The sequence below is a fragment of the Homo sapiens genome, chromosome 11 (genome assembly GCF_000001405.40).
Source record: "Homo sapiens chromosome 11, GRCh38.p14 Primary Assembly".
Lineage (NCBI taxonomy): Eukaryota > Metazoa > Chordata > Mammalia > Primates > Hominidae > Homo > Homo sapiens.
This window is the reverse complement of record NC_000011.10, coordinates 121,387,891-121,401,366: the sequence shown is the minus strand read 5'-3', so window position 1 is coordinate 121,401,366 and position 13,476 is coordinate 121,387,891. Positions and strand designations below refer to the sequence as shown.

The window sequence follows — 13,476 nt, the reverse complement described above, 5'->3', positions numbered from 1 at the left end:
ACAGTCACCATATGACCCAGCAATCCTATTCCTTGGCATATACTCAAGAGGTATGAAAACATATACCCACACAAAAATATGTATACAAATGCTTATAGCAGCATTATTCATAAGAGTCAAAAAGTGCAAACAACCTTAATGTCTATCAGCTAATAAATGGATTTAAAAATCTGGCATACAATGGAATATTATGCAGCCATAAAATGGAATGAAGTACTAATACACACTAACTTGAACACATTATGCTAAATGAAAGCAGCCAGTCACAAAAGACCATAGATTATATGATTTCATTTATTTTCATTTTATTTTAGAGCTGGGGTCTTGCTTTGTTGCCCAGACTGGAGTGCAGTGGCACAATCATAGCTCATTGCTGCCTCAAATTCCTGAACTCAAGCAATCTTTCTGCCTCAGCCTCCTCAGTAGCTGGGACTATAGATGCATGCCATCTAGCCCAGCTAATTTTTAAATTTTTCATAGAAAGGGGGGTTTTGCCATCTTTCCCAGGCTGGCCTTGAACTCCTGGGCTCAATAATCCTCCTCCCTCAACCTCCCAAAGTGCTGGGATTACAGGCATGAGCCACTGCACCAGGCTGATTCCATTTATATGAAATGTCCAGTATAGAAAAATCTATAGAGACAGAAAGGAGGTTAGTGGTTTTATGGGGCCGGGGCACTTGGGAAAATATGAGAAATGACTGCTAATAGGTACAGGATTTCTTTTGGAAGTGATAAAAATGTTCTAAAATTTATTGTGATGATGGTTGCACCACTCTATGAATGTAGTAAAACCATGTAGTTGCACTATTTAAATGGGTGTTATGATGGCATGTGAATTATGTCTCAATAAAGATGTTATATGTTTAACACTTGGAGGATGAGTAGGAGTTGACTAGGCCACAATGGCTGTGAGGAAGGAATGGGTGGTTGTCTTAGTCCATTTGTGTTGCTATAAAGGAATACCTGAGACTGGGTAATTTATAAAGAAAAGAGGTTTATTTGGCTCACGGTTCTGCAGGCTACACAAAAGGCATGATGCCAGCATCTCCTCAGCTTCTGGTGAGGGTCTCAGGCTGCTTCCACTCATAGAGCAAGAGGAAGCAAGAGAGAGAGGGGAAAGGTTCCAGACATTTGTCAACAATCAGTTCTCTGCGGAACTAACAGAATGAGAACTCACTCACCCCCTCCCACCTCTTGCCCCTGCCTGGGAAGGGTGGGCATTAATCTATTCATGAGAGGTCCATCCCCATGACCAAAACACCTCCCATTAGGCCCCACCTCCAACAATAGGGGTCAGATTTCAACATGAGAGTTGGAGGGGACAAACATCCAAACTATAGCCGTAGTGTTCCATATAAAGCATTTCAAATGGGAAGGCGTATTTCCCCAACCACTATAGAAGCCCATTTTATAGTATCTCTACTAGGTATCTTAACCTCTTCTTGACTACTTCCAGTGAATGATCATTCTATATTCATTGGCATAGATAGCTAGGCTCTGAAATAACTGTAAACAAAGCAATTCAGGAATCCAGTGAGCTAGGTGCTGTGATAGCGACATGTACAAGTGCCAAGGGAGTCTGTCCAAGGGAAGGGCACGAAACCCACTAAGTGCTCAGTGAAGGCATCTTGGAGGAACTCAGATAAAAGCCTTGGCTTAAAAATTAGTCAAAGCAAAGGAGGCAAGGGAACAAGAAAAATTTTCAGAGAGAAAAAGTATAAACAAAGGTCCCTGCTTGCTGGGAACTACACATCATTGAAAAGGGCTGGAAAGTAGAGTGTGGAAGCAAGGAATTGATGAGAGATGGGGCAAGAGAAATGAACAAAGGCAAGATGATGAAAGCCAGCTATATTTGTTTCCTATTGCTGCTGTCACAAAGTACCACAAATTTAGTGGCTTAAAATAACACCAATTTGTTATCTTATTGTCCTGAAGGTTAAAGGCTGAAAATGAGACGTAGGAGGCTAAAATGAAGATGTTGGCAAGACCACGTTCCTTCTAGAGGCTCCAGAGGAAAAGCCCTTTCCTTACCTCTTTCAAGTTTCAGAGGCTGTCTGCATTCCTTGGCTTGAGTCACTCTTCTCCATCTTTAAAGCCCATAAACCCAAACTCTGCTTTATCTCTTTTTTCAACTCCCACCCTCTTGCTCCCCTCTTATGAAGGACCCTTGTGATCACATTGAGCCCACCAGGATGATCCAGGATAATCTTTCCATCTCTAGATCCTTAATTTAGTCAACATTTGCAAGATCTCTTTTGTCAAGTAAGGTCACATATTTTCAGGTCCTGGGAATTAGGATGTGGACATCGTTAGTGGGGAGGGCATCATTTTGTCTACCACACCATCACCATCTTAAGAAATTTACTCATTACCTTAAATGTAGTGGGAAGTAATGGAAAGATTTTAAGAAGAGATGGCACATGATAAGATTTGGGTTTATAAAATATTATTTTGGAAGTGGTAGATGAGATGGAGAGAATGTGTGACAAGACTGTAGGCAGAGTACCACTTAGAAAGTTTCTCCAACAATCCAGGCAAGAAAGCGTGGCAGCCTGAGCCAAGGTAGGGGCAGTGAGAATGGAGAGAGGTAGCCAGGTGAGAAGCATTAAGGCAGCAAGTGATTGAACATAAGGGACAGGGAGGGCTCCTGAAGACCACTATTTGGAGGTGTCTGTATTATTTAATACTTAGATGAAAACAGGTCTAACAAAGATCCAAACATGACTTAACAAGATGGGAATTTTAACCTGGTAGAAAGTTCAACTAGGTAGAAATGCTCTCTTACTTAGTGCAATGTTTCCAAGGCTGAGAAGAGAAGATGGGTCCATTGTATTGGGAACTCAAGCTCCTTCTACTTTATTCTTGGTTTGTCTACATGATCAGAGAAGATCCATCATGACAACATTCAAGGCCAGAGTCAAGGGAGAGGAAGAGGGCACACCCCAATCCTTTTAAGGAAAGACCCCTCTTAGATTTTGACTGATCCCTCTTGTTTGAGCAAGAGGTGGCATACATCGTTGCTGCGTTTATCTCATTGACCTGAACCTAATTTCATGACCATAGTAAGGAGAAGTAGAAAATATAATCTTTAGTTGGACAGCCAGGGGCCCAGCTTAAACTTCTACTACCAAAAATCAATGGGAGAATGGACACTGGAGAGATAAGAGCAGTGTCGACCACAACTGTTATGGATCCAGTTGTTAGAAAGTTCTGTATTCAAAGAACTGTCTGCCTCCCTGACACTCAGTGATTGACCCTACACCAGCACTTTCAAACAGCATAAATCTACTTCAATTTCTACATGATAGCCCTTGAAATATTTGAAGACAATTTTAAGTTCCCCCTAAGACTTTTCCAGGCTAGACATTTCAATTTCCTTCAATTACTTATCATATGACATGTTTTTCAGACTCTCATGATCCAGGCTGATATATTTTATTTTTTTTTATTTATTTATTTTTTGAGATGGAGTCTTGCTTTATTGCCGAGGCTGGAGTGCAATGGCGCAATCTCAGCTCACTGCACCCTCTGCCTCCCAGGTTCAAGCAATTCTCCTGCCTCAGCCTCCTGAGTAGCTGGGATTACAGGCACATGCCACCACACCTGGCTATTTTTTTTTTCTTTTTTTGTATTTTTCGTAGAGACAGGGGTTTCACCATGTTAGCCAGGATGGTCTCAATCTCCTGACCCCGTGATCTACCCACCTCGGCCTCCCAAATTGCTGGGATTAAAGGCTGATATATTTTTAAAATTTTATTTTTATTTTTGTTATTGTCTTTTATTTTTATTTTTTGAAACTGGCTGTCACTCTCTTGCCCAAGCTGGCATGCAGTGGCGCGATCTCGGCTAACTGCAGCCTCTGCCTCCCAAGCTGAGGCCATCCTCCCACCTCAGCTTCCTGAGTAGTTGGGACTACAGGCACACACACCACCATGTCCAGCTAATTTTTGTATTTTTTGTAGAGATGGGGTCTTGCCATGTTGCCTAGGCTGGTCTTGAACTCCTGATCTCAAGCAATCCTCCTGTCTCGGCCTCCCAAAGTGCTGGGATTACAGATGTGATTCACTGCACCCGGCCTGATGTATTCTTTAAACTCTGATTTGTTCTGCCTTTCTTAAAACGTGGAACCAGAATATGGTGCATTAGGCAACATGAGTAAAATAGGACTATCATCTTTTCTGTTCCAGAGAGAGTTCCTAAATTAATGTAACCTAAGATTCTGTGTTAATGCTTGAATTATACTATTCACCCATGTGGAGTTTGAGATCAGTGAAAGAACAGCTCTCTCTCTCACACCTAGTTCAAGTTAGGACTCCAGCTGGTATTTATGCAATTCATTTTATAAGGTTAAAGGCAGCATGTGCACAGTTATCCCTACTACTTTTTAGGAGATGGGGTTTTACTAATGTTGCCCAGGTCAGTCTCATACAATTGGGTTCAAGCAATCTTCTCATCTCCACCTCTTTGAGTACCGGGGACTACAGGCGTGCACCACTGTGTCCAGGTGTATTACTTTTTACCTTACTACTTTTAACTTAAGGTTCTAGGATGTCAATAGGGTTTTATGACCTAATCTATTACCTATAACTTAGAGCATATATTTAAAGAAGTAAGAACATTTTAAAGAACCAAAATAATGATCAACTCTAGGAAAGACAAAAAGTTATACAACAAAGGAAACAATAATAGTGTACTACTCTTTTTAGTTTCCTTAAGAGTATCCTACTTAATACTACTACTGCTAATACTATTAGCTATACTACTTAATTAAAAGTATCCTACTCTTAATTCACTGATAGTGTACCACTAGTATACTACTATTAATGAATAGTAATGAATGTCATTTATACAGCTATAATAGTAAAGTACTGAGTACAAATTAGCAAAAGCTGAGATGAATAATAATGAAAGATGAAATGAGATAAGAGCATGAAATTCTCATCTTCCAAAATAGAAAGACGAATAGATATCTAAAATTGATGCACCAAGATATAATTTGTATAAGCAAATTATTTACAAGTACAGAAATAAACACCAGAAGAAATAGCTTAAAAATGGAAAGTAAGAGGTCTGGGGAGTGGGCTGGGGACAGAAGGCATGCAGGCAGGGGACAGCTGATTTTCCGTCTGTCCTTTTGCTACCATTTCACTTTTTTTTCTCTTTTTGCTATGTGCATTTATTACTTTGTAAAAATAAACATTAATTTAAAAAAGAAATTCAGTTTAGTTTGAGCTGCTCAATAAGCCCCAGTTTAGGAATCTATTAATCACTTTTATGTGTCATTACCTAACATCTTAATACAGGAAGGGGGAGGAAGCCATTTTCTATACAATTTAACACTACCTTTGGTATGGAGTTATCGCTTGTGTCAGGGAGATAAATTTAATCACCCCTTTGGTGTCCTATTGTTATGAAGTGACAAAGTTAATGCAATTTATTCAGCACTCTTGGAAGTTTCATTATTAATCTGTCACTCATGATAAGGCTCTAATTTTGTGAAATGACTTAATTTTTCTTCTTGGTTTTAAAATCATATTTATTCTAGTTTGCCTTAAAAAAAATTCAGGAATTCAAATGAGAAGTTCAGATCGAATTCCCTAAACTGCTTTAGTTCAGGGGGAAATAAAAACTTTCCTTGGTGAGAAAATTTGTCATTTACTTCTCCTAAAAAATTGGCATTTATTTCTACACTTATTTACACCTTTTATTCCTATTTTTTATTTACACTTTTTATTTCTATTTTCTTATTTACACTTTTTATTTACGCTATTTATTTCTCCACTTATTATAAAATTCAGGCGAAAGAATCCTTAATAATCACCCAATACAGACTCTTTATTTGGCACCCAAGTGAACCATTGCAGCAAGGAAGGTTAGAATTACATCAGTATTGTAATGATGCTACAAAGTAACCAGCTCCCTCAATGATCCAATTTTTTAGCTACCCATCCTATTTTGGTGCTTTGGATTTTGGCTCAGGTTGTAAGACAGCCTGAATGCTCTCTTACACCACGTGCTGTGGGTGCCTAGTTAATATTCCCTCATTCCGCAAATATGTACTTGGTTTCTGTCATGCGTACAAGACAGTGGATTGAATGGTAAGCCCAATTCTCCATTTTGAGAAAAAGAACATAGGAGTTTACATGAGACCTGGGACTCTTCACTCCTTTGTTGCCCTGTGCTGGGTATACAAATACTCCACGTGGCCAGGAAAAGATTGAGGTGTTCACAGCAATCTGTACTTGCCCTCCTGCCCCTAAGGAGGAGAGCAATTCTTCAGAAGAACACTGACAATTGTCCCCTAAATGGACTCTCCTTTGTCAAACCAAGGTTACCAGAGTTTGTGTGGGAGGGGTAGGGTTTTGCACAAAGTACCAGACACAGGAAGTTACATGTGTGCCCTTGGGATCTCTGCAGCTGTCTAGGTGTGCATGTAAATGGGCCAGGACCAGCTGCCTGGGGTAAAAGCTCTCCCAAGCATTCCAGTATGGAGTGGTGAAAGGGGGCAAAATGGTTATACGGACAATAATGCATTGGATAATGTGGAAAATTCGAAGTAACTCCTTTTTAGATCACGTTCTTTTTGCTGCTGTTACCACGTTACTAGCGAAGTATTGAGGAAAGAACACACGCTTTGAAACCAGACAAATCTGGGTTCAAATCCCAGCCTCCCACCTTAACCCAAATGACACTGCACAGATTACTGAAGGGCTCTGAGCTGCAGTTTCCCCTTCTGTGAAACAGAGATTCTGTCCACCTCATGTGTTGTATGTAAAGCTTTGAAACACAGCAAGCAGCCAATCAATGGGAGATATTAAGTTGTGTATGTGGAACACCAGCAGGATTCAGTATAAAACTTGTAGACAGGAAAGATGTCATCAAGAACATTTGAGCTTTTTTTTTTTTTTATTGAAGGAGTGATAATTTTTCTAACTCTTGGTGCACTCTCGCTCCTCTACAACTTGCAAACTTAGCCCAGATTTCTGACAGGGGCCTCTGAGTAGCCATTGCCAATCAGAGATCATGTTCCATTTTGTCATCTGTCCCCAGAGTTCTATCAAGTAAACAAGCGAACACCTCCATGAGCTGGGAACCAAGAAGTCTTCCTACCTGTGAACTACTTTTCGATGGTCTCGAAGTGGTATTTATTTGAAACCAGATTGGTGTACAGCATTGTTTGTACCCATCTTTCATGCAGGCTGCCGCCCTGCCCCACCATGGAAGGGAGAAACAATAGCCAGGAGGCAGGCAAAAGACCAAGGACTTCTCAGGCAGGGAGAGAAATGCAGGTGGTTTTGCGGTCAGGATCAGAGGGGACACAGGAAGGACTGCAGGACAAAGGAAGTTGCTGTTTAACCACTGCATGAAATGGAAACTGTTTTGAACTTTCCTGAGAATTGGACATGGAAAGAAAAAGAAACCAGACATAAGGGGAGAAGAAACCATAAAGGGAAACTTGAACATAAAGGAAAACTTGTTCAAGTTTTTTGTGTGTGTGTGTGTGGAGATCTCATGCTTATCTAAATTGCGGCAGCTTTCAAGGCCAGTGCAAATGCCCATGCAGCTGGGAAGCCCAAGTTATCCTGAGCTATAATCATTTGGGTAAGGGGGATACTTACTCCCTTTTATCCCTAGCTCAGAGTACACGCGCACATCCTACGCCAGCACCAAGCACAGTTATGGTGGCCCACAAGTGTGCAAGAAGGTCCTGGGGAATTGTGGCCAGAGTGTCTGGAGATGAGTGCTTGAAGCACAGACAGGGCCAGCAGCCCACTCGTGCCTGGTGAATGGCTCTAAAGCCCTAGGTGCTGGAACCCACAGTTTCTGGACAGGCACAGCACACTCATGTATCACCCCCACACCATGCTTCTTCTTGGGGTCTGCTGCCCCTGGCACTTACAGAGCCATGGTTCAACCAGAGTCCAGCTCTCAGGAATAGACACCCTCAGACTCAGGGTCCTTTTTTCCTATCTGCTTCTTGGTTTCCTACCCATTCCCTTTTTTGGCCGCACTCTCAAAAGCCCTTATTCTTCTCATTAACTTTTTTTTGTTTCTTTGTTTTTTTAGCCATAAAAGGGCTTGATGGATCTCTAAATGAGCTTGATGGTTGATGGTGGGCTAGAAAGTTTGTAAATCCTTGGCAACACCCTAATACTTGTTAGCCCCCACAATTCCTAGAAACTCAATCAGATCTCTTGCCAGAGTAAAACAATGTTTCCAATCTTTCTGAATTGTCATCATCCCCTAGGGATGGACAAAGGGACTTTTTTTCTAGAGAAACACAACATAAACAAAATAGAAACAAAACAAGAAAACCCCCACAAACAGATTCCTTTTTTTTTTTTTTTTTTAAGAGATAGGGCATCTCGCTATGTTGCCCAGGCTGGCCTCGAACTCCTGGGCTGGAACAATCCTCCCGTGTAGCTGGAACAACAGGCATGCTCCACCATGCCTGGTCCACAGATAGATCCTTAATAAACGACTGCAAGCTAAGTCTGGTGAGTTACCTTGTATATATCCACATACATTTATATAAATGCTCCTTATCTCTTAGGAGGGCAAGGAAATGCGTCCTCATGTATTCTACCCTTTCTCACATAGCATTGTAACTTACACCTAATAAATGCTTTCTAAATATCTGAATTCCTTCTCGTATCTATATTGACATGTCTTTATATGACATGTTTTCCAGTCCCCTCATCATTTCATTGCTATCCCTGGCATGCTCATCTATGTCTGTAGCCTTCTTCAGATGAGGCCCTTGGAAGAAAATTAAGTATTTCAGCTGTGATTTGACCTGTCCGGAGCATGGATTATAACAGGGCCATAATATTAAAACCTCTCTGTAGAGATTAAAACCAACACATTACTCTGCACCCTTATGGTCACTCAAGCAGTTATAAACCCACCTAATTATTCTTGGCTTTAACTCATCTTTCTCTATCTTGAGCACAAGGATACCTATAAGAGATTTTAATAAACACTGTTGAAGTCCCAAAACATTCTGTCAATTACAGTTCCCTGGTCTTCCCTGAGTAATGTATTAAGCAGGATATAATTCTGTCTACGTATCTTAAACAAGACAGAAGTTTGTCTTTTTATCATGTAAAAGTCCAAGCTGCTATGGTGGCCTTGCTCCAAGAAATCTGCAGGGGCGTAGGCCCTTGTGGCTGGGCCACACCCAGGTACTGGCCTCATCTGCCAAGTCCAAAGGGCTCACTCATTCATGTTTCAGCAAATAGCAGGTACTTTCCTCGAAGAGCAAGACTTAGAAGGACAACACTTCCCTTTGGCTCATATCCATTGCCAGGGCTTGGTCATGTGTTCTAAACGCAGCTGCAAGTGAGGCTGGGAAATTGAGTTTTTATCTTGATAGCCGAAGTAGGCTGAAAAGCGCCCCCCACCCCCAAATGCTCGTGTCCTAAACCCTGGAAGCTGCAAATATGTTACTTTACATGGAAAAGGGACTTTGTAGATGCAATTATATTAAATATTTTCAGATGAGGAGGTTACCCTGGATTGTCTTGATGGACTCAATGTAATCAGGAGCATCCTTCTAAGAGGGAGGCGAGAGATTCAGGTGAGAGAAGACAGAGGATGGAAGCGGAGGGGAGAGAGCAAAAGCCATCTGAAGATGCTATGTTGCCGACTTTGAAGATGGAAGGAGTGGCCACAAGCCAAAGAATGCGGGTGGCCCCTTTGCATTCTCTGTTTGTTCTGCTAAAATTTCTGTTACTATGGAAAAGACAGAGAACAGATACTGAGGGATAATTAGCAGTCTCTACCATGACTCTTTGTGTGTGTGTGGTGATCTCGTGCCTATTCCTGAAGATCACCTCTTTCACTTTAAGTGGCTCACACATTCTTTTTAAAAATCCCATGGGCCGGGCACGGTGGCTCACAACACCAGCACTTTGGGAGGCCGAGGCAGACAGATCACGAGGTCAGGAGTTCAAGACCAGCCTGGCCAACATGGTGAAACCCCTTCTCTACTGAAAATACAAAAATTAGCCGGGCAGGTGGTGCACGCCTGTAATCCTAGCTACTCAGGAGGCTGAGGCAGGAGAATTGCTTGAACCCGGGAGACAGAGGCAGCAGTGAGCTCAGATCACGCCACTGCACTCCAGCCTGGGCGACAGAGCGAGACTCTGTCTCAGAAACAACAACAACAACAACACCACATCCCATGGTTTATCTTGCTTGGGTGCATTGCCAAAAAACAAAACAAAAAAACAAAAAACAAAAAAAACAGGTCTGTAGCTCCAGGAATCTTCTCTATTTCTGAAATAATTATTTTCCAGTACTTCTTTTTTTTTTTTTTTTAAGATGGAGTTTTGCTCTTGTTGCCCAGGCTGGAGTGCAATGGCGCAATCTCGGCTCACAGCAACCTCCACCTCCTGGGTTCAAGCCATTCTCCTGCCTCAGCCTCTGGAGTAGCTGGGATTACAGGCATGTGCCACCACGCCCAGCTAATTTTGTATTTTTAGTAGAGACGGGGTTTCTCCATGTTGGTCAGGCTGGTCTCGAACTCCAGACCTCAGGTGATCCGCCCGCCCTGGCCTCCCAAAGTGCTGGGATTACAAGTGTGAGCCACTGCGCCTGGCCTCCAGTACTTCTTTTAATGTTCCTGATGCATCAGAGATAACCAACTGGAGTCCAACCATCTTACTTACACATTATCTTGGTATTTGGAGGTGTAATTTGCATGGACTCAAAACTTGAAGCCATTAAAGGATTAAGGTGTTTCACAGTTCACTCATGCATCTTGGAACATCTATTCCCACCTGTGAATGGTTATTCATCATTTTCAGTCAAAAGATCATCTTCTGAGACAGAATTCAGAAACTACATAGATGCTGAGGAGTTCTGCTTTCTTTATGTCACCCATCAGCATCCAGCAACAGATTTTGAAGTTCTAGCTTAAATTACCTTTGATGGTATCACCTCACCTCTACAGGATTGATGGAAGTGGGAGCCACTGCTGTTCTTTCTTCCCCATCCAGAAAAATGCAAGGGATTCTGATTTCTCTACAGGCCTCTTAGCAATTGTCTAATTGCCTTCCTAGAGAGTTCAAATGCCTCCGTTTCCAAGCCTCCATGCCCTTTAGGCCTCTGCTGTCCATACTAGCAATAGTTTCAGGATTGCTAAAACTGATGCGTCGGCTCACCTTAGCTCACCCAAGACCCACCACTTCTAAGAGTATTTGTTCTCAGAGAAACAGCTTATGGGATGACAGCCAGGATAATGAGAAAATCGAATAATTCTAAGGCTTACGGTTTCCAAGAGATGAGCATATTTCTTTGTTTTGTTCTCCTCACCTGCTCTGTGTTCTCTCTGCCAATACTCCCTCTGCCCCAGATTTGTTGGCAGTCAAGGCAGGAGCCAACTGCCTGCCGAGGCGTCCTCATTAAAATGCACTGCTCTTGCTAATTAGGAGCCAAGGTTCTCCCACGGTGGGCTTGGCCTGGATATTGCCATTATCTTCATAAATAGACTCTTTACTTTGCAAATGGTGCTGTCATACCCAGGCATTCCCGACCTGGCAAATGCTCTGTGCATTCTTAAGTGGCGGAGGGAATGTGTTCGCAAGAGAAGGCAGAGGCATTCATGCTGAAGCAGGGCTCTGTCCTGAGCTCACCCCGCTGTCTGGGCAGCAGGCAGCCAACACAATGGCTGACTCTGCATGTACAACCACAATGGGAAGCAACATACGGCCCAGATTTGCTGGGAGATCTTATTTCCTGCCATTTTAATCTTTACAGCAAGGACGACTTGTTAAATGCATAAAATGCATAAATATTTTTTCAGTGATCAAATTGTTTTACCTTGGAAAAGAGCATTCCTATCAATAAATTCACAAATCAGAGGAAGAAAATCAGATGAGTTTTTAGTTTCCAAATATGCCCTTATGCGATCTCATCTCTGAGAATGTGTTTACTTATTTAATTTCCTTCGCTTACAAAACTCTTTCTCTACAATTTCTGCCTGTCTGATGCTAAACTGCCATTGCTAGTCTAGCTCTTTCACAGGACCTGTTTTGATTCCCTCAACTAAATGTAACCTCTTTCTCTCCTGCGCTATCAAAGTATGTTTATGATTATTTACCATTACAGCTACCCCTTGTGGAGTGCTGGCCCTCCCAGGAGCCATGCCGAGTACTTTTTACACGTTATCTCTAATCCTCACAGGGAACCTGCAACCGGGGTGTTATCCCTATTTTATAGATGAGAAAAATGAGGCTCAGTGACATTGAGAAACTTGTCCAAGATACTCCTTGGCAAGAAGTAGAGCAAGGCTGAGAGCTCTGAGTTACAGTTCTCCTCTCCTTTTACCAGATTGAGGCTCCTAAAGGAAAAGATTCTGTCTCTGTCATCTCGGCATTTTCTTTCTGCCATTAGGTGTTCAAGAGTAATGAATCAAGGAAACAGACTCCTTGATTACAATCTAATTAGGGTAATAAGACATGTTGCCAAGAAAAATAGCTATATTAGTTGGTAGTCTAGAAGTATAATTGCTACAAGCATATACCTTCTGCAGGTGAACTCACTTTCTACAAAAGTTACCATTAAAAGGTTCATATACTCTGATGAGGTTATAAGACAAGTTGTTAGCCCCCACCACTAATACCAGTGCTATAATTAAGCATGTCTCAAACTTTAATATGCCCTTGAACCATCTCAGCATCTTACTTAAAAGCACATTCTGATGCAGGTCTGGAGTGGGACTCAAGTATGGACATTTCTAACAAGCTCCCAGGTGATGTTGCAGCTGCTGGTCTGCTGGCCATACTTTGAGTAGCAGGGATATAAGAGACTGTACTATAAACTATATCATTGAGACAACCTGGAATGTTTCACTTCTTACTAGTCTCTTGCCTACAGGCCTCCATGCCTTTCCCTATGTTGCCCCCTTTACCTGGAAATCCCTCGCACATCCTTTCACCTGACAAACTTGCATTCATTTTTTAAGACAGCTCAGAGGTCATTGTCAGTAAATTTTGCTGAACCTGTAGATAGGGTTGAGTGCCCCTTTCCTGTGTGTTCATGACGGTCAAGGCACACTTCAGTTCTGTCCACCTGCTTCTTTTTAAAAAAAATTTTTTTATTGTAATAGGTTATTGAGGAACAGGTCGTGCTTGGTTACGTGATTAAGTTCTTTAGTGGTGATTTCTGAGATTTTGGTGCACCCATGACCTGAGTACACACAATTTGTAGTCTTTTATCCCTCACCCACTTCCCACCCTTTCCCCCTGAGTCCTCAAAGTCCATTGTGTCATCTCTTATCCCTTGGCATCCTCATAGCTTAGCTCCCACTTATGAATGAGAACATACAATGTTTTGTTTTCCATTCCTGAGTGACTTCATTTAGAATAATAGTCTCCAATGTCATCCAGGTCACTGCGAATGCCATATATATATATATATATATATATATATATATATATATATATATCTCACAGTTTCTTTATCCACTTG

General features: G+C 41.8%; 2 annotated features.

Moving 5' to 3' along the window:
* Positions 11,068 to 11,567: an enhancer, noted in NCBI's record as "H3K27ac hESC enhancer chr11:121260509-121261008 (GRCh37/hg19 assembly coordinates)". NCBI's record gives its function as "activates a minimal SCP1, AML or CMV promoter by ChIP-STARR-seq in primed H9 embryonic stem cells {active_cell/tissue: H9 hESC(primed)}" and the evidence as "EXISTENCE:reporter gene assay evidence [ECO:0000049][PMID:30033119]".
* Positions 11,568 to 12,069: an enhancer, noted in NCBI's record as "H3K27ac hESC enhancer chr11:121260007-121260508 (GRCh37/hg19 assembly coordinates)". NCBI's record gives its function as "activates a minimal SCP1, AML or CMV promoter by ChIP-STARR-seq in primed H9 embryonic stem cells {active_cell/tissue: H9 hESC(primed)}" and the evidence as "EXISTENCE:reporter gene assay evidence [ECO:0000049][PMID:30033119]".